At 57.9% G+C, this 23,199-nt stretch overlaps 1 protein-coding gene across 5 annotated transcripts in view, besides 3 other annotated features; it reads right to left on the bottom strand.

The window, feature by feature from the left end:
• Positions 1-22,118, bottom strand: part of UNC5A (unc-5 netrin receptor A) — a 70,340-nt gene extending 48,222 nt beyond the window's left edge. For all 5 annotated transcript variants that reach the window (XM_006714928.2, NM_133369.3, XM_011534686.2 and 2 more), the window contains exon 1: positions 21,857-22,118. In XM_006714928.2, coding sequence (XP_006714991.1) covers positions 21,857-21,926 — 70 coding nt within the window. In that variant the 5' untranslated portion in view covers positions 21,927-22,118. The remainder of the gene's footprint in view (positions 1-21,856) is intronic.
• Positions 1,519-2,475: an enhancer, noted in NCBI's record as "H3K27ac-H3K4me1 hESC enhancer chr5:176257203-176258159 (GRCh37/hg19 assembly coordinates)". NCBI's record gives its function as "activates a minimal SCP1, AML or CMV promoter by ChIP-STARR-seq in naive and primed H9 embryonic stem cells {active_cell/tissue: H9 hESC(naive and primed)}" and the evidence as "EXISTENCE:reporter gene assay evidence [ECO:0000049][PMID:30033119]".
• Positions 13,760-13,929: an enhancer, noted in NCBI's record as "active region_23691". NCBI's record gives its function as "activates an Ori minimal core promoter by ATAC-STARR-seq in GM12878 lymphoblastoid cells {active_cell/tissue: GM12878}" and the evidence as "EXISTENCE:reporter gene assay evidence [ECO:0000049][PMID:35858748]".
• Positions 14,430-14,489: a silencer, noted in NCBI's record as "silent region_16665". NCBI's record gives its function as "represses an Ori minimal core promoter by ATAC-STARR-seq in GM12878 lymphoblastoid cells {active_cell/tissue: GM12878}" and the evidence as "EXISTENCE:reporter gene assay evidence [ECO:0000049][PMID:35858748]".
• Positions 22,119-23,199: the final 1,081 nt, after the last annotated feature.

Genomic DNA, 23,199 nt, shown 5'->3' with positions numbered 1-23,199 from the left:
GCCATGAAGGGCCTTGTATAAGGTGGACCCAACTTAGCTTCCCAACCTGAGCTTCCTCCACCATTACATGGTCATAGCAGCAGCGGCAGCTGAGGGGTCCTGTGTTCTCACCACACACCACACAGGGCCTTCTCTGATCCTCTCATCCTAGAGGCTAGGTGACTGCTGTCCCCATCCTTCAGATGTGGAAAGTGAGGCATGATTCAAGCAGATAAGTGACTTGCTCCAGGGTGAACAGCAATAGAAGCAAAAAGAATTACTACGAGAGCTAGCTTGGATCAGGCGTGGACTTTGCTCCTGCCATTGTCCTAAGCATTTCACAACTGTCACCCCATTAAGTCCTCACTCCAGCCCTGTGAAATCAGACTGCCAGCCAAACACCTGACTTCTCCACAGCTCATTTACTGCATCTCTAAAACGGGAGCATAATAACGGCACCTCCTCCAAACTCTGCATTGAGGCTTCAGTGAGAAAGTGTGAGGCCAGGCATGGTGGCGCACGCCTGCAATCCCAGCACTTTGGGAGGCTGAGCTGGGTGGATCACCTGAAGTCAGGAGTTCGAGACCAGCCTGGCCGACATGGTGAAACCCCGTCTCTAATAAAAATACAAAAATTAGCCAGGCGTGGTTGCAGGCACCTGTAGTCCCAGCTACTCGGGAGGATGAGGCATGAGAATCACTTGAGCCAGGTAGGTGGAGGTTGCAGAGAGCCGAGATTGCACCACAGCACTCCAGCCTGGGCAACAGAGTGAGACTCTGTCTCAAAAAAAAAAAAAAAAAAAAAAAAAAAAAGAGAGAGAGAAAGTGTGTGAAAGTGAAAGTGCTTAGGAGAAAATAAGGTTGGTACCTGAGGAGGGACCAGCTTGAGTGGGCTTTGGGAAGATGGTGGGTACAGCAGTGGGGATGGGTGGGTTGAGAGCAGACAGATGAGGACTTCAGTCAGGAAGCAGCGGCCAGGGGTCAGCTCTGGGAGGTGGAGGTGGGCAGGAGACGAGGAGACAGGTGTGAGGTCACTGTGCTTATGGGGAAGCCCCGCTCTGGGCACTGCAGGAGGGTCCAAGGTGGTGCACAGCAGAGCCGAGTGGTGGCGAGAGGGCCTGTCAGGGAAAACCAGCCCAGCCCACGGCTAGGCCCCTTCCATGGGGCAGAAAGAGGGGCCAGCCCAAGGCTTGCCTTCCTAAGGAATGGAGCCCCCAGGTCACACCTGGATGCGTGCTGGCCTTGAGCATTCCTGCGCAGAGAAGGCCAGTATCCCCGCTGTGTTGGGTAAAATGTGATGAACAAAAGGGGTGCCAGGTCCCTGGCATTGGAGCCCTGGCCCCAGGGACAGGGAGAGGGGCCCTGGGGGTTCCATACAGCTGCCTGGAGTTACCAGCTGCAGCCCCATAAATCGAGCCCTGGCCCGGGCTGGCAGTCCATTAACATGAAAGATTTTATCACACTTTACAACCTCCCTGTCTTGTATGGCGACAGCAGGTAATTAAAACAATAATTGTTTTCTGATGTTGCTTCTGCAGAACGATAAAAGCTTCTAGTTATTTTCCTTTCACTGGGGTAGGTGAGGGAGGGGTTTGACCCGAGGCACGGAGGTGGGGGGTGGGGCAACAGAAGGATGAGGAACGGGCTTCTGTGTGGCCACCACAGAGCGAGGCTGCAGGAACTGGGCAAAGGCCTGATCACCTCCCATCTCACACACACACACACCAGCACACACACACGCCGGCACATACACACAGGCCAGCACACACACACCCACACACACGCCGGCACATACACACACGCCAGCACATACACCCACACACACACCAGCGCACACACACACGCCAGCACACACACATGCCAGCACATACATGCCAGCGCACACACACGCACACACACATGCCAGCACACACACGCCAGTACACACACACCTACACACACGCCAGCGCACACACACCAGCACACCCACACATACATGCCAGCACACACACGCGCCAGTGCACACACATGCCAGCACACACTCCCACACACACCAGCACACACACACAAATGCACACGCCAGCGCACACACACACACGCCAGCGCACACACACACCAGCATGCACACACCAGCACGCGCACACACACACACACACACCAGGACACATGCACATGCACACACACCAACACCCACACACACACATGCCAGCACACAGCAGCACACACATACGCCGGCACACACACACCAGCACACACACACGCACAACACACACACACACATGCCAGCACACAGCAGCACACACACGCACTGGCACACACACACCAGCACACACACGCACAACACACACACACATGCCAGCATACAAGCAGGCGCACACCGCACCCATGCCCCATGGAGGCACATCCTCCAGCCCAGGCTTTAGCGCACTGTGAGCTGCTCTGGAGAGGGCCACCCTGCTTGGGAGCTCCTGGGAAGGGAGTAGAGGGTCCCCAGCCAAGACGACTGGCAACAGCTGAGACCTGGCGGAGGTGGTCTGTCTGAAGGCCTAGGGAGCCCCTTAGAGCGGTTCTCATGGCACCCAGAGAGGAAGGTGACAGGGACAGGCTTTAAAGAGTAAAAGTTTTGTGACTAGCCTGTCCAACATGGCAAAACCCCATCTCTATTAAAAATACAAAAATTAGCTGGGCATGGTGGCACACCCCTTTAATCCCAGCTACTCGGGAGGCCAAGGTGGGAGAATTGCTTGAACCAGAGAGGTGGAGGTTGCAGTGAGCCGAGATCACGCCACTGTACTCCAGTGTGGGAGACAGAACAAGATTCCATCTCAAAAAAAAAAAGGAGCAGTGATGTGGAAGTGAGAGGGTTGGAGGCCTGTGGTAATGAACCAGCCCCGTGGTAATGAACTTGTACTTCCCAGGTGTAGAGAAGCCTGGCACACCCAAGGTGGCCTGCCTGGGGACTTGAGGGACTGATTCAGGGATGATAGGATGCCCAATATGGCAAGGGAGTCTTCTGTGCCCCGTGAACAATCATCCACCTTCCCTCCCATTGATCCATCCATCCATATATCTACTTGTCTATCTACCCATCCATCCACCTCCCACCCATCCACCCACCCATCCATCCACCTACTTTATCCATCCATCCATCCATCCATCTTTCATACGTCCACCCATCCATCCAACCACCCATCCATCCACCCATCCACCCACTTTATCCATCCATCCACCCACCCAACCATCCACCCACCCACCCAACCATCCACCCACTTTATCCATCCATCCATCCATCCATCCATCCATTCATCTTTCATACATCCACCCATCCATCCACCCATCCACCCACTTTATCCATCCATCCATCCATCCATCCATCCATCCATCCATCCATATTTCATACATCCATTCATCCATCCACCCATCCACCCACTTTATCCATCCATCCATCCAGCCACCCATCCATCCACCCATCCATCCATCCATCCATCTTTCATACATCCACCCATCCATCCAACCATCCATCCATCCATCCATCCATCCATCCATCCATCCATCCATCCATCTTTCTTTCTTTTTTTTTTTTTTTTTGAGATGGAGTCTCGCTCTGTTGCCCAGGCTGGAGTGCAGCAGCGCGATCTCCGCTCACTGCAATGTCAGCCTCCCAGGTTCAGTTCAATTGATTCTCCTGCCTCAGCCTCCTGAGTGGCTGGAATTACAGGCGCACCACCACACCTGTCTAATTTTTGTATTTTTAGTAGAGATGGGGTTTTACCATGTTGGTCAGGCTGGTCTCGAACTCTTGACCTTGTGGTCCGCCCACCTCGGCCTCCCAAAGTGCTGGAATTACAGGCATGAGCCACCGCGCCCAGCCCCCATCCATCTTTCATACCTCCACCCATCCACCCATCCACCCATCCACCCAGCCATCCAATCACCCATCCATCCATCCATGAACGAGCAGTGAGCATGAGCAGGCCATAGTCCCTGCCCTCAAGAAGCGTGTGTTTTAACTGGGGGTGGTACAGAACATAAACAAGTAAGTAAGTCAAGAAAGTCATCTCCAATGTGGATAAACGCCATGAAGAAGCTAAAGCAGAGAGTGACAGGCTGCTACTTGAGGTTGGAGGCCCAGGGGGAACCTCGCTGAGGAGGCGATATTTGAGTGAGGCCAAACAACCCAGGGAAGCCAGGGGAAGATGGGGGGGCTGAGGCTTCTGGGCCTCCGTGCCCTCAAGGGACTCTTGGGTCCCCTGATTCCTACTCCCTGGTCCTGCCACCTCCAGCCCCATGCCCAGGAAGCGCAGGGTGGGCACAGGTGGGTGTGGAGTGGTGACTCCCCACACTGATGCCATGAGTGACATCACACTCGGGGCTCCCTCACCCCCACTGCCCCCCAGGTCTGCAGCAAATCACCCTGATGCTTTAAAACAAATACCTCTTAATCACTAAAAATTGAAATGATTTCATGTGAAAATGTTAATGTATTCGGAATCACAGCCGCGCACTGCGTCTGACAAATTAGCACCCAGCCTGCCGCATTGTTTGTAGCCGCATTTATCCTGGTGACAAGACACACACACAAAACGGCAGCACAGAGGGGCAGAGAGGGCAGCTCCTGGCTGGGGGTGGGTGTGGAGGAGGGGGAAGGAGGACAAAAGGGGGCTTGCAGAGGGAAACAGGGTCCACAGGGTCCGAGAGGGCTGAGAGAGGCCCAGACCCGCTCTGACCCTACAGCTAGCTGCACCTCTGGGGGCTCCCAGCTGCTTGGTCTCCTCTCCGGTCCTCTGTTGCCAATCTTGAACCACGAGACCTACACCAGGCTAACCTGGTGGCCACGCACAGATTCAGGCACCAGCAAAGCAGGAGCACCAAGACATGAGAAAAATGTTTGCAAGAATTTAACACTTCAAATATAAGAATCAGGACATGGAGAAACTGGAACCCTCGTTATTGCTAGTGAGAATGTAAAATGGTGCAGTTGTTAAGGAAAATAGTTTGGCAGTTCCTCAGGAAGTTCAACATAGTTACCGTATGACCCAGCAATTCCACTCCTAGGTGTATGCCCAACAGAACTGAAAACAGGTCTTTAAACAGATACTTGTACCCAAATGTTCAAAACAGCTTATTCAGTCGCCAAAAGGTAGAAACGACCCAAATGTCTACCAATGGGTGAATGGATAAACCAAATGTGGTCCATCCATACAATGAAATATTATTTAACCACAAAAAGGAATGAAGGCTGGGCATGGTGGCTCACACCTGTAATCCCAGCACTTTGGGAGGCCGAGGTGGGTGGATTATTTGAGGTCAAGAGTTTGAGATCAGCCTGGCCAACATGGTGAAACCCCGTCCCTACTAAAAATACAAAAATTGGCTGGGCGTGGTGGTGCATGCCTGTAATCCCAGCTACTCGGGAGGCTGAGGCAGGAGAATCGCTTGAACCTGGGAGGCGGAGGTTGCAGTGAGCCAATATTGTGCCACTGCACTCCAGCCTGGGCGACAGAGTAAGGCTCTGTCTCAAAAAAAAAAAAAAAAAAAAAGGAATGAAGCAGTGATGCATGCTTTCATGCTACAACACGGATGAACCTGGAGCACATTATGCTAAGCGAAAGAGGCCAGGCACAGAGGACCACAAATTACATGATTCCATTTACATGAAATATCATAATAGACAAGTCCGTAGAGACAGAAAGCAAGTTGCTGTTTGCCAGGGGCTGGGGCAAGGGGAGAATGGGGAGTGACTGCTTAATGGGGTCTCCTTTGTTCTGATGAAAATGTTTGGGCCGGGCGCGGTGGCTCACGCCTGTATTCCCAGCACTTTGGGAGGCCGAGACGGGCAGATCACGAGGTCAGGAGATAGAGACCATCCTGGCAAACACAGTGAAATCCCGTCTCTACCAAAAATACAAAAAATAGCTGGGCATGGTGGCGGGCGCCTGTAGTCCCAGCTACTCGGGAGGCTGAGGCAGGAGAATGGCGTGAACCCGGGAGATGGAGCTTGCAGAGAGCCGAGATCGTGCCACTGCACTCCAGCCTGGGCAACAGAGCAAGACTGTCTCAAAAAAAAAAAAAAAAAAAAAAAAGTTTGGAAACTAGATAGAAGTGATGGTCGCATAACATTGTGAATGTACTCAATGCCAATGAATTGTGCACTTAAAACGGTTAATTTTATGTTACGTGAATTTCACCTTGATTAAAAAATGGCAAAGAAGAATTAAAAAAATGGAAAGAAAAAATATATATGCATCAAAGTCCAACTTCATCGGTTGGACTAAGCTCATTTTACCAGTTACTGTTTGATCCTGGGGTTGCTGAGGCCTGCGAAGGGTGGAAGTAGCCTGCCTGGCCTGCTCCCTGCGCCCTCCCATGGCTTCTACCCTTGCCCCTGTCCCAGGCCTCAGGATCCGCTCCATGATAGCCCAGGCCCAGTCATTCTTCCCATTTCATAGATGGGGCAGAAGAGTGTATCTGGCCTGGGCTTGTGCTGTAGCAGCAGAGCAGGTCTGGGAGCCAGGCCCCCTCCGACCAGCTAACCCTAGCAAATGTGCCCTCAGCCCCTCCTGCTGTGCGTCTCTGGAAGCAGAGGTGGCTTCTATGCATGTATAAATGAACACAGACACAAGTCATCACACCTCTCCTCACCCAGCTCCACATTCCCTGTGACCAGACCAGAGTAGGCCCTTTGCTGCACCCGCAGCCTGCTCCTTCTGTCATTCAGGTCTCAGTTCAAGTGTCACCTCTTCCAGGACTGTCCTGTCTCACTGGCTACCCAGCATGCCCCTGCTTCCAGCTCCCTCATGGTCACACGGCCCTCATGCTCATCTGTGGCACCTGACGCCGGGCCTGGCGCCAGCAGGTGCTCAATAAATGTTTATTTAATGGCTCAGGTGCCATTGTCACCTAGCTTTGTCCCTCAGCCCATCCCCTCTGCTTCTCTTAAAAGCTTTATGAGGCTCTGGACCTTCTGCCCATTTTGCTGCCATGGAGCTGGGGCTGGCACCTAGCTCTGCCATGGTAGCTGTGGGATGTGGGCACGTCACTCACCTCTGAGCTACCCATCGAGAGCTTTCGTGCAAGTACATCGCCAGTGCTCAGCAAGTATGCTTGTCCTGCCCTCGCCCCCCTTTCCCAAGTTTCTCCCTGAAACCTTCACTGCATCCTGTGCCTTTTCTACCTGGTATCCTTCCATGCTCTGCAGATTCCAAATGGCCTCTGTGTCCTGTCTGTCTACACTGTTCACACTGTCCCAGTTCACTCCTGCTGCTTCTGAGCACAGCGTCCTCCGGCCGCTCTCCCTGCCTCCTCCCAGCGTGTCCTCCAGGCCTCATCGGCGGGTCCTTCGCCAAAGCCTTCCTCAAGGCTGCCTCCCCTCCTGCTCAAAACCTTACACACACTCCTGGGCCCCTACTGCTCTCTCCCGGGCCCCCTTTTGGCTTCCTCAAAATTGTCCCCTGAATCCTCCTTTCCACCCCAGCCATGGCCATTCCCTAATCATCCTCTTTGAATGGGATTCGAGCTCATGCATGTCGGTGATCAGCTCCTTATGAAAGGGTCTCTCAACTCCACTTCCCACCCTTATTGCATCTGAAAGTGCCACTCCCAGTTTCCAATTATCTTTTAGATGTTTCCACCTGACTATCCTCCACCACTTCAAACTGAACAGGCGAAATCTAAGGCCCCAAATGCAGACTCCAAGAGCTGGGAGGGAGGGAAGGAGAGGGATGGCCCTGCCCATGGCCTCAGTACCTGACACCCACCAAGCACTGTGCACAGGGTGGGGAGACGCAGCCTTGGTGTGCACGGGAGCGGGGGTGAGTGGCAAAGAGAGGGCAGTGCGCAGGCACTGGGGGTGCATGGGGTGGGGGATACGGAGTGGTGAGAGTGCCTGGGACAGAGAGTACACAAGGTAGGGGGTACACAGAGCAGGGGGCACACAGGTGGTGGGGGTGCACAGGGCAGGGAGTGCACAGGCACTGGGGGTGCATGGGCATGGAGGCACCTAGCAGTAGGGGGTGTTCATCTGCCAAAGTGGCATCCAGGTTCCAGCCCCAGCCACCCAGGAAAATGGGCTTGCTGGGCCCAGCCCAGATCTTTTGCTTTTTCAAGAGAAGCCTGACATTTGGATTTTTATGTGAATTCTCTCTCTTTCTCTCTTTTTTTTTTAGAATGTTCTATCTGCCGCGTGGGGGCTAAATGCCCTGCCTGCTGCCACCTTGCTACCTCTGGGTGGGCGCTTTGCTCACATCATCATCTTTCTCCTAAGATCCTCGGTCAGGCCCCTTTCAGGTGCAGGACACAGAAACCCAACTCACACGGGCGTTAAAGCGGGAAGTTTGTGGATCTAGGGCCAGGAAGGCTGTTAACAGCAGCTCACAGGACTGAGAAAAGCTGCAGGGACCAGAGCCTCAGGGCCTCGGGGCCACTGGGACAGCCTCCTCCCTCCGCTTGTCCCTGATCTCCCTGTGCGCTGGCCTCACCCGCCTCAGCCCCACGGCCGCTTTCCACACATGGGGGAAATAGTCCTGGGCCAGTGTCGGAACCTGCATCATTGCTGCCTCCAACCCGGGAGGCATCGGGGCCGCACCTCCGCCTCCAGGCGGGAGAAGCCCTGGCAAGGATCCTGACTGGCTCAACCCAGGCCATGTGGCCAGCCTGGCCCAATCATGTGCCCAGGATCTCCGGGACCATTCGCCAGCTGGGACAGGTGCTTTCTCCAGGGAGAGGCTGGGTTCTCATAACTGACAGTCCCACCAGGGCCCCATGGCGGGAGGTCGCCAAAGGAGGGTGGAGGTGCTGTGCCCTGAGAAAGTATTTCAGCAGTTAAAACAATGGGCGGCAGAGAAACTACCAACCCCCTCGAGATGGAGCCATCCGTCCAGAAAGCCCAGTTCTCAAAGGGTAAGAAACTTCTCAAGACCAAATAGGGTGGAGCTGAGAGGAGTCCAAGTCAGTATCCAGCCGTCCTTTCCCTTTTCCCACCGAGACTCACCGAGGCCACCTGCCCCTGTCCAGGGTCTCCCTGACTGTCCCATAGAGCCCCCCTGTGGAGGCTCTCATCGTGCCCAGACCTCCGAGCCTCTGCTTGCTGGGAGGGTCTCCCTCAGCCTCCCTGTGTCTCTCCCTGCTGATACCGACCTACCCCGTAGGGCTTCACAGAACCAAGTAAATCCACCTTTCCCGGACGGCTTTCAGTGCCCTAAAGGAAACCGGATGGCCCCAGCACCACCAGGACCTGTTGGACGTCTCTCCTGGGCCACGGCTGGCTTTAAGTCTGCCCTTCGCCCCCAGTGCCTGCCTGACCCGGAAACGCTGTTCCGCTCCCTTGGCTTCACGTGACCAGAGCCAGTTTCTGTTGCTTGTGACCCAGGCGCCCTGTCCACACTCTGCACATAGCCTGGCAGGGTGGAGCTCCCTGGGCGGAGCCTCTTGCTCTTTCAGCTTCTCCCCCAACCCAGCTCCCCATCTATTTTCTGTTTCTGACATCACTTCCCCAGGCTCCAGAGCTCTGAATCATGTTTGCCTCCTCCCCCTCCCTCGCCCCCCCACATGCAGCATCCAGATGCAACATCTCCCCCTTTGCAGCGTCTCCCACATCCATCTCTCTTACTCCATCCCTGCTGTCTGCCCGCCATCAGGGAGGGACGCCTCGTCATTTCTTGCCTGGATGACCACGGCAGCCTCCCGGCTGGTCTCCTTGCCTCCAGCCTCTCCCTGCTCCTATCCATCCTCCATGGGCTGCCAGATTAATCTTCCTTAAACACTGCTCACTGCCTGTCACTCCCCAGCTCAGAGATGTGGTCACAGCCCTGTCGCTTGCTGGCACCCCACAGGCACCGTCTGCTCCAGCGGGGCTGCACGCCTCCCGGCTGCCCTGTACACAGGCTGCCACTGGGATTGCCTGTCCACTCCTTCTCCTCCCCTCATTGTCTGGCCAAATCCCACCACATGCCAAGGTCCCAGCCTGAGTCCCTCTCCTGTTCTGGCCTCAGGGTTCCCAGAACTCTGGGGCAGAGGCAGGGGGTGCCCAGGGACCAGCTCTGAAGTCACAGGTTGGCCTGAGGCCAGCAGGTGGGCTGTCCTTGTTGGGCCTGTCTGGGCTCTCAAATGTGGCTGTGGCCTCTGCCACCTCTCTGCTCTGCATGTCCTGGAGACACACCCGGGCTCTCAGGTGTCAGGAGTCCTACTCAGCCAAGTCACTCTGGTGACTCACCCTTCACCACGCCAACCTTCCTTCTCAGGCCCCCTCATGAATGCTCATTATCCAAGAATGAACACCTTCCCAAGATTCCAGGCCTGCAGGCCCTGCCCTTGACGCCCACTGCTGCTAGTTTCATCAATCGAAGATCCTGCTCAGATTCCAGGCCTGCAGGCCCTGCCCTTGATACCTGCTGCTGCCAGTTTTATCAACCGCAGATCCTGCTCCGCACACCCCTCCACACAAATACTTCCAGGGCGTGTCACAGAGGGGGGCCAAAAGTGAGCATCCCCCGCCCCGCGGGCCACACAGCTCGCACCTGCAGAGCATTTACTGTGAGCCGGCATCAGGCTGCATGCACCACACAGAATGACTCGTTTAATCCTTGCAGCCCTATGAGGTAGGAACCTTTCATTGTCTGCATTTTCCAGGTGAGCAAACTGAGGCACAGAGAGCTTAAATAACCTGCCCAAGTTCACCCAGTTCAGGATTCTAATCCACATCAGAGCCCTGGCTCTTAAGCACAGTCCTCCCAGGTCCTAGCTGACTCTCTACCTTTCGACCTACCAGAGTCTAAAGTCCAGGAGGGAAGCTGTCCCTTCCAGCCTGGGAAGTCAATTAGTCCTGCAGGGGAAGGCCTAACCAGAGTCTGGTGTCCAGGAGGTAAGCTGCCCCTCTCAGCCTGGGAAGTCAATAGGTCCTGCAGGGGAAGGCCTGAGATGCCTTTGTCCACTCCCTGCCTGCGGTCACTTCAGAGGGGGCTGGGAGTGACCTTGGTCAGGAGCAGTGGTGTATGCGGCCAGCTCGTCCTGGCTCAGGACAGCCAATCACTACAATTTCTAGAATTTTTAAGCCAGTTGACATCACATTGGTAGCTTGATATAGGCTGTGGTGGGAGTATTTACACCATGGAAATTGGCAAATTAGTTCCCCAGCCTGCCTGAAGAGCCAACTGTTAACCATTCGACAGGACACCACACTGTTGTGGGAGGAGGCAGAATGCTGACCACTCTCAAGGCGTCCTGGCATTTGGGTGGTGGACTTCAGGAATTCACACCAAAGACGGGCCTCCAGTGGAGCCAGGGGTCTGAAAGGAAAGAGGTCTTGAGACCAAGTGGGTCTCAAAAATGGACCTCTGGTTGTGTGATCCTAAAGGAACTGGAGAAGGAAGGTCCCTAGAAAAGTGCCAGGGCAACTACAAGATATCCAGGTAGGCAGGCTCAGACTCTGACCAGACATGCCCAACATAGAAAGATGGCCCGAAACCAAGGACAAGCCACAGGTGAGAGGCATGGATGGAGGAACCACGCTCGGAAGCAGAGCACAGGTGCAGCGGCGTGAGGCTTGTGGGCAATGCCAGAGAAACACAGGGCAGGGGCGGGGCTTGGAGGAAGGAGCCCAGAAGAGCTGAGCCCTGCTGCTGACATCTGAGAAAGTGGCATGCTGGTGGCTGTGGGGCAGGAGCTGTAGTCTAGTCATCATAAGGAAGCAAGTTTGGTTTGGTGAATGTATCACTTAGGGTTCTTTGAAGGCAAGCAAGAAAAAAACAATTCTCACAAATTTAGGAAAGAAGAAGCACTGGCGGAAGACTGGGTTGTTGAGAGAAGGAACAGAAGCTTAAAGAGCAGGCTCTGCAGCTGGAAAAGAACCAGGTCAAGAGAAATACTTACCTAGCTCACCTGGGCCCTGCTGCTGGGATGAAGGGCCCCCCAAAATACCCCACTAAGACTGGGATGAAAGCTGGACCAGATACAAAACCTAACAAACATCCACTGGAGGTGCCACAGCCCAATGAGCCTTATGCAAACTCCAGGCACGGTTCTAGAAGAGCTTCTCAATCAGCTGCAGATGACCAAAGGAAGGAGGGACCGTGAGAGGCCTGCTGGGATCCCCATGGACCAGTCACGCCAGACCAGCTTCCCTTATTATGGGGTTACTGTCCCACGGTAGATTAAGGATGGACTAGAAACATGGCGTGTCTGGATTCCAGCCAGGCACCGGATAACATATCTTAGATGGCCAAATGCAGATATATGAGCAGATGACAGCACAATGAAGGGCAGGCAAAACCTGCTGAATGGCCAGCCTTGTTTTCTATTTTTTTCTTTCTTTCTTTTCTTTTTTTTTTGAGACGGAGTCTCACTCTCTCACCCAGGCTGGAGTACAGTGGTGCAATCTTGGCTCACTGCAAGCTCCACCTCCCAGGTTCATGCCATTCTCCTGCCTCAGCCTCCCAAGTAGCTGGGACTACAGGTGCCCGCCACCACGCCTGGCTAATTTTTTGTATTTTTAGTAGAGACGTGGTTTCACCATGTTAGCCAGGATGGTCTCGATTTCCTGACCTCGTGATCCACCCGCCTCGGCCTCCCAAAATGCTGGGATTACAGGCATGAGCCACCGTGCCCGGCCCAACATTTTGTATTTTTAGTAGAGACGAGGTTTCACCGTGTTAGCCAGGATGGTCTCGATCTCCTGACCTCGTGATCCGCCCGCCTCGGCCTCCCAAAGTGCTGGGATTATAGGCGTGAGCCACCGCGCCCGGCCTGGCCAGCTGTGTTTTCTAATGCTGCCAATAAAATAGTGTTGATCCAGATCCCGCTTTACTTCTGAGCCACAGGCTGTGCCTGGTGCTATTCAGCATGCTTATTTAATACCTGGCAAAATGTGCTGATGACATCTGAGGATGATTGTGCCCACCCTTCTTGGTGGACAAGAAGCTGAGAGGAGTAGCAAATAGCCTGGGTAACAACAGGACAATGGCCTTGGTGGCTCCGGCCCAACCTAATCTGCATAATCCTACCCTTGTCTATGGTGATTGGCTCACACAACTGGGCAGGGCACTGGAGGTGGACCAATGATGGAAGACTTGGACATTTGTTGGGTGGTGGAGGGCAGAGATGTGCTCTTCTCCCCTATCCCGTGCGGAGCCTGGGCCTGGACCTGTAAGGATGTAGTCCCGGAAGCTCCTGGCAGCCACCTTGGGATAGAGGGAAGAGGCTGTTGGAGAGTGGTGCCGAATCCCCAAGAGCAGAGATGAGGGAAGGATCTTGGCCATACTGTTCTCCCTGGATACAACCATGCCTGAAGCCACAGCCACCCCTGAGTTCAGTTCCATGTGCCATTATGGTCTCCTTCTTCTTCGTTTTCCTTTTTTTTCCTTAAGCCAGTGTGAGTTGGGTTCTAATATTTGCAACAGATACACTTAGTGTCCCATGTCACTTCAAGCTGGGGCATTGTGGCACAGTGTGGTGAGCTCCCAGGGCTGAGGAGGCTGTGACAATTGGGCCACCACCCACAGACAGGTAACAAAGATGTGGGGGGTTGGGATTCAGGCTTGGGGCAATGCTCATGAGGAGCAGCTGAGAGGGCTGGGGAGGGCTGGCCAGGAAAGGGGCAGGTGTGGCCAGGTGGGAGCCCTGTCTTAACCAACTGAAAGGGGCTCCCCCAACCTGTGCGGCCCCAGAAGGAAGGGCCCAGAACCATTTGGGGAGCTTACTGGGAAAGAGTCCCCTTCATTATAAGAAAGTGGTTTTGAACAGTCCCAGTCGCCTGAAGAAGTGTGGCCCGGGCAAGTCCCTTTGGCTTAAAGCTCAGGGCTACGGGTGAGGAAAGCCAACACCACAAGAGGAAGTTAATAATCAACGTCTGGTGGCCTGGACAGCCATTCTCAGGCTGGAAGCACACTAGGTGGGGTCAGGAGGCAGCATGGGGATGGGGAATGGGCTTCAGGCTGTGAGGGAGTTCACTTGAGGCCACACAGAGAATCAGGGTCTCTGGACATTCTCCCATCAAGTCCATAGGATACCAGAGAGGCCCTGGCAGTAAATAGCCACATAGGAGAGCCCACAAGGTGGGTGTGGTGTGTGGTGGGGGAGATCGGGCAGAGTAGTAGCTGCCCAATAAGGTCCCAGCTCTGCCACTTCCTGCGGTGTGACCTCCCCTGATATGTGTCCTCATCTGACGCATGGGGCTAACCTCACCCACCTGTAGGTTGTCCTGAGGTTTTGATCAGATGATGTAGGCGGAGCCCAGATTACTACCATCACCAAGTTAATAAAGAATAAAAAACGTAACAGTCTATAGCCCCCAGGGGCTCCTCCTCTTCCCGCCACACGGTCTCTCCTCTTAGCAGAAGGAGAATGAATTTGGGTGTCAGGGGCTGGAGTGGAGCCCCAGCCTGCAGAGGACAGCCGGGACCTGGGGCAAGTCGGTGCTCGGCCTCATCTGTAAAACGGGAATGGCGACACGGGTGCATCGGAAGCCCCGGCCTGCAGGAGGTGCTCGGGTTATGGGGACGTTCCCCTCCCTTTCGCAGCGAGATCAGCCCGGGGTCTTCGGAAGCCCCAGGCACAAGATCGCCTGAGAAGCCCTGCGCCCACCCACTTCTCAGGGGGCCCGGGAAGGGCGGGCAGGGGCAGGGGCTGCAGCTGGGCTACAGCACGGAGGCGGGGCGGAGGCGGCCGCGCGGCGGTGCCCGGAGGCTGGACGCCCGCTCCCGGGGCGGCAGCCGAGCGCTCAGCCAGGAACTTGTTAACAGGCCCCGAACAAAGAGCCGCTAATCCGGCGGGCGGCCGCGGGCGGGCTGGCGGGCGGAGGCATCCCGCCCCTTCCCGGCTTGGCCGCCGGAGTTTGCAGCGCGTTAATTACCCCGCGCCCGGCTGCCCCGCGGCACCCACCCCCGGCCTGGACGTCCCCGGGCGCGAGCCTCCCGCAGCCCCGCCCGACGGGCGCCGCGGCGAATGGCGAAGCCCCTCTGCCCCGGCTGCCGTGGGCTCGGGCACCCGCGCTCCACGGCAGCTCACGTGCCCCGCAGATCCGCCGGCCTAAGGGCCCTCGCGTACCAAGCTACCTAGACAGCGGGGCGGGGACTGGCGAAGCCAGAGACACGCGCTGAGGAGGGGCTGCTACCCGCCAGTGACGGGCACATTTGTTTGGGCGGGGGTGGGGAGGGGCGGGGTGGGGGGCGGTGCTGGAAAGATGCAGAGCTGGGAAAAACCACTGGCCCCTCGGCTCCACTGGGTCCCTGCCCCGATTAGGAGGGGTAGAGTCTAATTCAGGGAGTACTCCCGTAGACCCCCACAGCCTCTCCAGTGGACCTGCTGGCCTGGGGCGCGGGAGTTCCACCTGCCGCCCTGGCTGGGGACACCTAGGGCCGAGGTGGGATGCAGGGTCCGGACCTCCCTCCCCAAGGCGCTTCAGGTGCTGTCAATCTAGACAGATTCCCCCGGCCTTCCCCCCACCCCCTCCCCATCTCAGCTACATATTTGCCTGGAGCTCAAGGTGACCCTGAGCCTTCCAGACGGACACAGCTCTGATATCCCAGTGTGGGAGAGGCCCGGCTCTGGGGGCCCCACCAGTCAGGGTGACGGCTGGCCCTTGGCGCTCCCACCACAGCACAGAAGCAGGGGCCTCATGGCCCCTCCCCCATCAAAATGCTACCTAAAACTTCCCCTTCCCCAGTTACTCTGGGGCTGAGCAGCTGCCACTCAGACTTCCCAGAGCTCTGTGTGGCTCCCCCTCTCCCACTTCAAACAGGGCTGGGAGGGCCAGTCAAGGACCACCTGCCCTTGCATGACAAGAAACAGAAAGGAAGCCAGGCCTGTCCCCAGCCCAGAATGGGAAGCTCACCTCAGGCCTTTTCCCTCCCTCCTGGCTCCCCAGTCGCTCCGTCTTCCACAAAGACAGCCAAGGACTCCCCCACTTCCCGAAGGAGAGGACTGAACAGTGCCCTCTGCCATGGCATCATCATTGCTAACGTGTATTGAGTGCCCACTATGTGCCAGCACTGACACACTTCAGCCCGTCTAATCTGCACAAAATCCTAGGAGGTGGGTTCTTTTTGAGTCAGTTGTACAGACAAGGAAACTGAAGCCATGCAGGGAGGAGCTGGATGCAGGGCCAGGAGGCGTGCACTCTTGGGGGCTGGCCCTACCTTTGTGCCTAGGCACCTGCCTGGCCTCACCCTAGTACTGGTCCAAACCCAGCCACAGAGCTTGCCAACTCACCCATTTCACTACCTCCTCCATGTGCCTGGGGTTCTGGGCCCCTGGGGTCTGAAGCTGCCTGTCGCACCTGACATCAGTGCCCAGGAAGGGGGTGGGCCTTGGGCACTGGGACCCTGACCTTCTGGACGCCCTGAGAAGGCCTGTTTCTGACATAGGAGTTATTTGCCAGCAGAAGTGGGCCCTCAATTCCTGGCCTAGGGGTTGGGACTCAGTCCCCAGTTCTGCCTCCCAACCACTTTTGGCTCTGCCCCAGCAGCCACCTGGCTCTCCAGCGATGCAGGCAGCCCCTGCCAGGGCAGCTGATGTCTGTGGCAGGTGCTGGGCAGGTGTGAGCAGTTCCTGGGGGAGCCTGCTGCTGAGTGCAGAGTCCACCCCAGGCTCCAATATAGGCATCATTGGGTATACTACACCCTTTAGTATACAGAGAGGCAAACAGCCCAGAGAGGTTAAATGATTTGTCTAAAAGATCACACAGCAATCAAATAGCAGAGAGAGGACTAGAATTTCGTTCTGCTCAGGGCTCCTGCCCCACTCTGTGCCATGTCCTGAGAGTCAGAGATGATCATCAACACACAGTTGCATGAAAAGCTGAGCCCAAATCTTCATCTTCAGAACCTCCAAACAATTGCCCCTTGTGCATTGGAAGCAATGAGTCTGAATCAGGCCCAAGTCCCTGCAGTGGGTGGTGTATGTGTCAATGGCGGGGGAGGGGGGATGCTTCTTCCAACCAGAAGGGGCCCCTGCCTGGGCCTGGGTCAGTGGGAAATGAAGCAGCTCACACTGAGATGCATTTTTCTCCTGTGTCTGGGCTCGGGCCCTGATGCGGCTTAAGTCCCCACCTCTGTCCTAACTCATGCCATCCCCCCACAAATGCGAAGGAACACAGAGGAAGGAGACAGACAAGCTATGGCACCTACTAGGTGTCGGGGTTCACCCTGAGTGCCCTCTCCACATTGCCCATCAATCTGTTACTATAACCCCAGAAAGCAAGCATGACCCATTCTATCAATGTGGAAACAGGCTGGGGACTGCAAGTTGCTTGTCCAAGGACACGAGGCTTGGGTTGGAAGTTGACCCTGACTGCCTCCAAAGCTTAGCCTGTCCTTTCTGCTTCACCTGGCAAGAATACGGGGTGAGACTCCCCAGAAGGCAGGAGGACCCTTCAATGCCACTCCCACAGGAGCAGACAAGGAACGAAGGGGTGGGCTGGTGGAACTGATTGCAGGAAGCTGAGCTCCTGTCTGAGCGTGGTTGGGCCCTGGGGCTCAGCCTCAGGAACCAGGAGTCCCACCCCACGTAGGAGCTGTGCAGAGCAGCCCACGTCTTGACGTGACTCTGTGAATGACACCATTTGCTCAAGAAAACATTCACTCTGGGAAAATCCATGCCAGGGTGGGGATGGGGGTTCCTACTCAACAGACATGGGCATACAACTTGCGTGAGTGGCCCACAAGCATGCACCAATGTGAGCTGGTTTGCTGTCCATACACGTGGCTGGGGCACAGCATCCTCCACCCCAGGATGGGGCCTAGTTTTCCTGGTCCCCACCCTGGACAGGAGGCCGTTTCCAGCTTCCCTGGAGCATGGCAGTCCGTGTTCAGGGACAGGGATGGGATGGTTGCTGAGAGGGGCAGAGCAAACATCTCTCCCTGTCCCCAGCAATAGCAGCCCTCCCTGCCTGCAAAGAGAGCCCAAACTCAAAATGGAGAAATGAAGAAAAACAGCACCTGGCTGGCAGTGACTCAGAGCAAGTTGGGCCAGAGAACAGGGTCACCGCGCCATAAACAATGGCAATACCTGAGGGAGGCACTGGAGGAGAAGGAGGAGGCTCAGGTCAGAGGCTTCTGGCAGCCCCAGGGCTGAGGACTCAATACCTCAGTCTTTCTTTAGCCCACCCAAAGCACATCAGTATGCCAGGACCCCTTTGCAGGGGAGGAGGTGGGAGGCCTTTGGGAGGGGCTGGACTGAAGCTGCGGGTTTCACAGTGCAGGGATTGGCAGCAGCAAAGGGGTGTGTCCCAGGTCTGGACAGAGCCAACGTTGGGGTGTTGGGTGGGGAGCATGCTGGCGGGGTCAGTGGCACCACGCTTTGCAAGGCAAAGGAGCTACAGTCTGGAAGCCGGAGCTTGCCTGGGGGTGCCCACCCCACCAGCAGTCAGAGCCAGGGAGGGCACCCGACCTCCAGATAGACCAGCCCAGAGCTGATGTGGGGCGATGACGAGGGAGGAAGGTATTTTCCTAAGGGCCCAAGGGGGCTCAAGGTTTGGGTTGACCTGCAGGCACTGGGAGTCACCGAAAGCTTTCTAGCAGATTTCCAGCCTGGATGCCAGGGGATGCCTTAGTCTGAGTGGAGGAGGCCCGAGGGGGATGGGTGGTGGTGGCTGCTGCAGGTGAGGGAGAAAGGAGTGGAGGAAGACAAAGAAGTCGAGAGACATGAGCAATGCCACAAGTAGGCCCGAGCTGGAGGACTTGGTGACATATTAGATGTGAAGCGTGAGAGAGAAGGGAGAAGCAAGGGAGACGCTAAGGCTTCCAGCCCCAGGCTGGGAGAATAGGAGGAGGGGACGGCAGGGCCCTTGGGAGGAGGGGGCATTGGGAGAGGGGTGGCCTAGAACAGGAGGCCCCGCATGCATATGCGTGGACACACAGATTCCCAAGTGGCAGCTAGGCCCAGCACTAGAGCAGGGGAGCCCCACCCCAAGCTCAGGGCAGGCTCCTGCCTTGTGAAGCCTCGGAGCTCCAGCCTGCGGGTCTGGGCCCAGAGCAGCACTAGGCAGGAAGAAGGGTCGTGAGGACAGGGGCTCTCTGGCCCTTGGCTGAGGCCAAAGTTGGCTGCTCCTGGGAACGAGGGCCGTGACTTCTGGTGTGGGCTTGGTACCTGGATCAATGCCTATCCCTGGTTCCTGAGAGAAGCCCCCCCTCCCAACACAGGCAAGTGGGGAGCAGGCAGGCAGCAAGAGGACCAGCTCTCCCCTGGGAGGACCTAGGGGCCCCAAAGCCCAGGCCACCCCACCTGCAAGGCAGGGCGAGCAGGAACAGGGTATCTCCTAGCCCTGGAGGATTAAGACCCCCTCAGCCAGCTGCATTCTCCCAAGTGTCGGGGTGGACAGACGAGTCCTAGGTTAGCCCTAAGTATGGGGATGGGGTCTGAGAAGGAGGAGCCAGGCTAGATGGTTGGGGTCAGGTTGGGCAATGCAGCAATGCCAGAGCATGGCACCCCTCAGCCCCATCTTCAAGGGAGCCAGCTCCCAAGTCCCTCCTGCTCAAGACTGCAGAGGTCTGGGTGACAGGGAGACCACAGGGGCAGGGTGGGGGTTTGCATGCCAGCTGCGTGACGGGGTTTGAGAGGGAAAATCCTGTGAGACAGATGGGTGCTTGCGTGCGCGGGCACAGAGAGGGCCTGCAGGTGCGAGCATGCTGAAGGGACAGGCTTTTGTGTGATGTCCAGCAACAGAGGGTGGGCGCGTGGCCTGGGGAGCAAGCGGCTGCAGTCAGTCGCGCTGGCCCCCGGCGCCCCCTGCTGCCCGCTGGCCATCCCTCCCTCAGCGGCTCACAGACACATTTTTCACCGGAGGCTGTTGCAACGGAGGCAAAAGGCAGCGCGGGAGGAGCCCGGGTCACGGCAGGGCCAGCCTGCCTGGGCGTCCACATGTGCCCAGTGCCTGTGGGGCACAGGGGGAAGGGAGTCCCAAAGAAGTAGGGCCAGCCCCTCCCCACCCCATGGCCTTCAGCAGCTCCTCCCGCAGGCCCAGGGGCAGAGTTGATGCCTTGGGGCAGGCTCTGCGTCAGCCCCTGCAGCACCTGTGCCCACCTGCCGACTCCCTGGGCAACCTTGGGCCAGGCCTCAACAGATGCCCTGCCAACCAGGGATGCAGTTTCCCCACCCCCACAGCCTCCTGAGGAGTCCCTGTGGCAACCCCCCGCTCCAGGCCGCAGCACCCTGCTTCACCGGTACCTGTGCCCCCTTATCTGTACACGCTCACCTGTGCAACTGCACACAGCCGTCACACACGTGCGGCATGCTGGTCATCACACACGTTCATCAGGGCACACACATGCCAATGCTGCACACACCATGCCAACCCCCCTGGTTACCCGGGCACACATGTCAACCCACAGCCTTCACACGTGCTCACGTGGGCGACATGCAGCTATGACCACACAGCCCTCAAAAGCATCAACTCAGAAAACATTTCCAGGGTACCTACTGGGTGTCAGGCAACACCCCACCTGTGTGTGGGGCACTAATATCCCCACCTCATCATGGACAACAGTGCAACCTGCACCCGGGTGCTCATCTGCGGAGCTGCACACACGCCCCTAACACACACATGTGGCGGACACGGACACACACCCAACAGCAGTTCAGCCTCTCAGCTTGGTCAGGATTAGAAGGAGAGGCCCTGGGGAAGAAGAGGGGTGCTGATGGAGAAGGGAGATAGAAGGGGTGGGATGGAGTAGAGAGGGGTACTGAGGAGGCAGGATGGGGCGGGCGGTCAGGCAGTGGTGGGTGCAGGATGCGCTGCGCAGAGACACCCTTTAAGGAAACAGCCATCGGCCTCAATCATCAGGCTGGCTCCTGAGCTCCCACTCATTGATCTCTGATCAATCTGGTTTGGCAGCTCAGAAACCCCAGTGCTCCCTTCCAACACCCCTGTTATAAGCAGCGGCCTGGCCAGGCTGGGGAGTAACCGCCCAGGTTCTAGGGGCAGCAAGAATCGAGAATTGCCAGGGTAAGCCTCAAGCCCCCTTGACCACACAAATGGCACCCACCCCCCACCACCACAGACACATACGCTCAACTCAGCTAAGTGCATGGGGGGCAGAGATCAGGAGGCCCCCACAGCTCAGCCTAGGTGAAGGCTCAGGGACAGCAGACAAAGGATGCAGGGGAACTTCCTCCCCCCAAGCCCCTCCCAAGGGAATGAGGTGGGCTGAGGGCTGAGTTAGCAGTGGGTTAGGGTGACCAATGGGGCATGCAGGGGCCAAGAAAGGCTATGGAGTTTAAGGAAGAAGGGGAAACTGGCGGACCAACCACACACAACTCTGGCCCCCCGCACCAGGGAGGCCAGGAGCCACAGCCCCGGCCACCGGGACCGCGGCGCTTTGACTGTGCTGGCTGCAAGGACTGGGGGCTGGTGTATGCGCCTCCACGCCTGAGTGTGTGCGTGTGAGAGCGTGTGTGGCGGGGACAGAGGAGGACACTGTGTTCTGGACGTGGGCAGAGGCCAGGTGCCAAGCTGGGAGATTGTGAGTGGCTGTTTAGGGCAGATGCTACCGGGAAGAGGTATCTTAAACGTTCCCCGCACCCCCCATTTCCTGGGCACTGGGATAGGCTCAAAACCCTCTAATCTTCGAATCCTCAAAGTCAGGCTCCCTGGGGTTGATCCAAACCCCCAGCCCTGCTCCGGGCCCAGGCAACCAGCAAACTTCCCCCACCCGGAGGCGTGGGGTGTCTACACTCGCCAGCCCCGCGGGCTGACAGCTGCTCCTGGACTTGGCAGAACCCAGGCTTCCGGGAGAGCGCGCGGGGAAGCTGCGCAGCAGCAAGAAGAGCCCCCCGCGTCCCGCCTCGCAAAGTTTGGCCTCGGGGGGCTCCCAGCCGGGTCTGGCAGCGCTGGTCAGGGACCCCCAGAGCAGCGAGCGTTCGCGCGCACGGTCCCCCGCAAGCCTCCCCAGAGCGCGCGCGGCGTGACTCACCCGAGCCGCGGAGCCAAGCGGCGAGGACTATGCCCAGGAGCGCTGGCCACAGGCCGGGCCGGACGGCCATGGCCGCGGGCGGGCAGGCGGGCGGGCCGGGCGCGGGGCCCCGCGGGCGGGAGGGCGGCTTTAGCGCCTCAGCCCGGAGCCCCAGCTCGGGGCGCCCCCGGGGCCCATGCCAGCGGACTGCGCTGCCTCCGGGCGGCCGGCTGCCGGGCGCACGCGGCGCGTGGCTCCCTTGGGCACGGGAGCGCAGCAATGCAGCCGGGGCGGAGCGCAGCGCCAGCCGCGCCGCGCACCGAGCCAGCCGCGCCGCGGAGCCCGCAGCCGGAGAGCGGGCCGGTGGGCGCCGCAAAACCCGGACTGGAGCGACGGAGCGGGGCGGCGGCTGGGAGGGGCGGGGGAAGGAAGGAGGGGCCGGGCCGCCCCGCGCAGCGCGCGCGGGCCACCCCCAGCACCGGGAATCCCTCTGGGCGATGCCTGAGGCTCCCCCAGGGAGGGGCTTGGGGTGGTGGGCGTGGAGGCCTCCCACCGCCCCGCGGGGTCTCCAGGGACAGGGGCAGGAGTCTGAAACCCGGAGTGGATCGGTGCTCCGGATCCGGGCTCTCGCGGGCCCGCCAGTCTGCGCACAGGTGGCCCGGGAGGGGCCCGGGGCTGCGGCGACCCCGGCGCGGCGCCAGCCTGCGGAGAGCCGCCCAGGGCAGGGGTGCCCCGGGCAGGTTCCGCTGCAGTCCTCTCCCCCGCCCTTTCCTCGCGGCCGCGCTCCGGGGTCGTCCGGGCGCCGCGGTACGCTGCCAGCCCGCGGCTTGGTTAGGGGACTGCGGGAGAGCCCCGGGGCCCTGGCCCGCGCGCAGAGGTGCCCTGGCCACCAGAGCTGGCAGGCCAGACTCGGGGACACCCGCAGTCCCAGCCTCGCAGGCTGGTGGATTCCAGGGGCGCGCCTCACACCATGACCCAAGGTTTCCCTAACCCCTCGGCGCCGTTCGCCGAAGGAAAACAACCTTCAGGCGCAGCACACCCGACTGGGCGCGCGGTGTTTGAGCCCCGAGAGCGCACGGCGCCCGCGACGTGGGTGTAAAGGAACGAGCTGGGCTTTGGCAGCTAGGGAGACCGGGGGTAGGGTCCAGGCGACTTCACCTTCCAGCTCTGTGACCTTGGTCAAGTCACGTCGTCTCCTGGAGCCTCCAGCAGTGACCGCTGCTGGAGTCTCCTGTGCCCCACCCCCATTCCCTAATCGGGTTAAAATAAACAGAGGGCTGCCTTGAAGGAGAAAGGAAATGACAGCCGCGTGCGGTGTGCCTGGGGGGAGTGATCGGAAAAAGAGAGGGTCCTAGTCTGGGTCG

This window comes from Homo sapiens, chromosome 5, assembly GCF_000001405.40.
Source record: "Homo sapiens chromosome 5, GRCh38.p14 Primary Assembly".
In the NCBI taxonomy this organism is placed as follows: domain Eukaryota; kingdom Metazoa; phylum Chordata; class Mammalia; order Primates; family Hominidae; genus Homo; species Homo sapiens.
The sequence above is the reverse complement of the archived record's forward strand: the minus strand, read 5'-3'. Positions and strand labels throughout refer to the sequence as shown.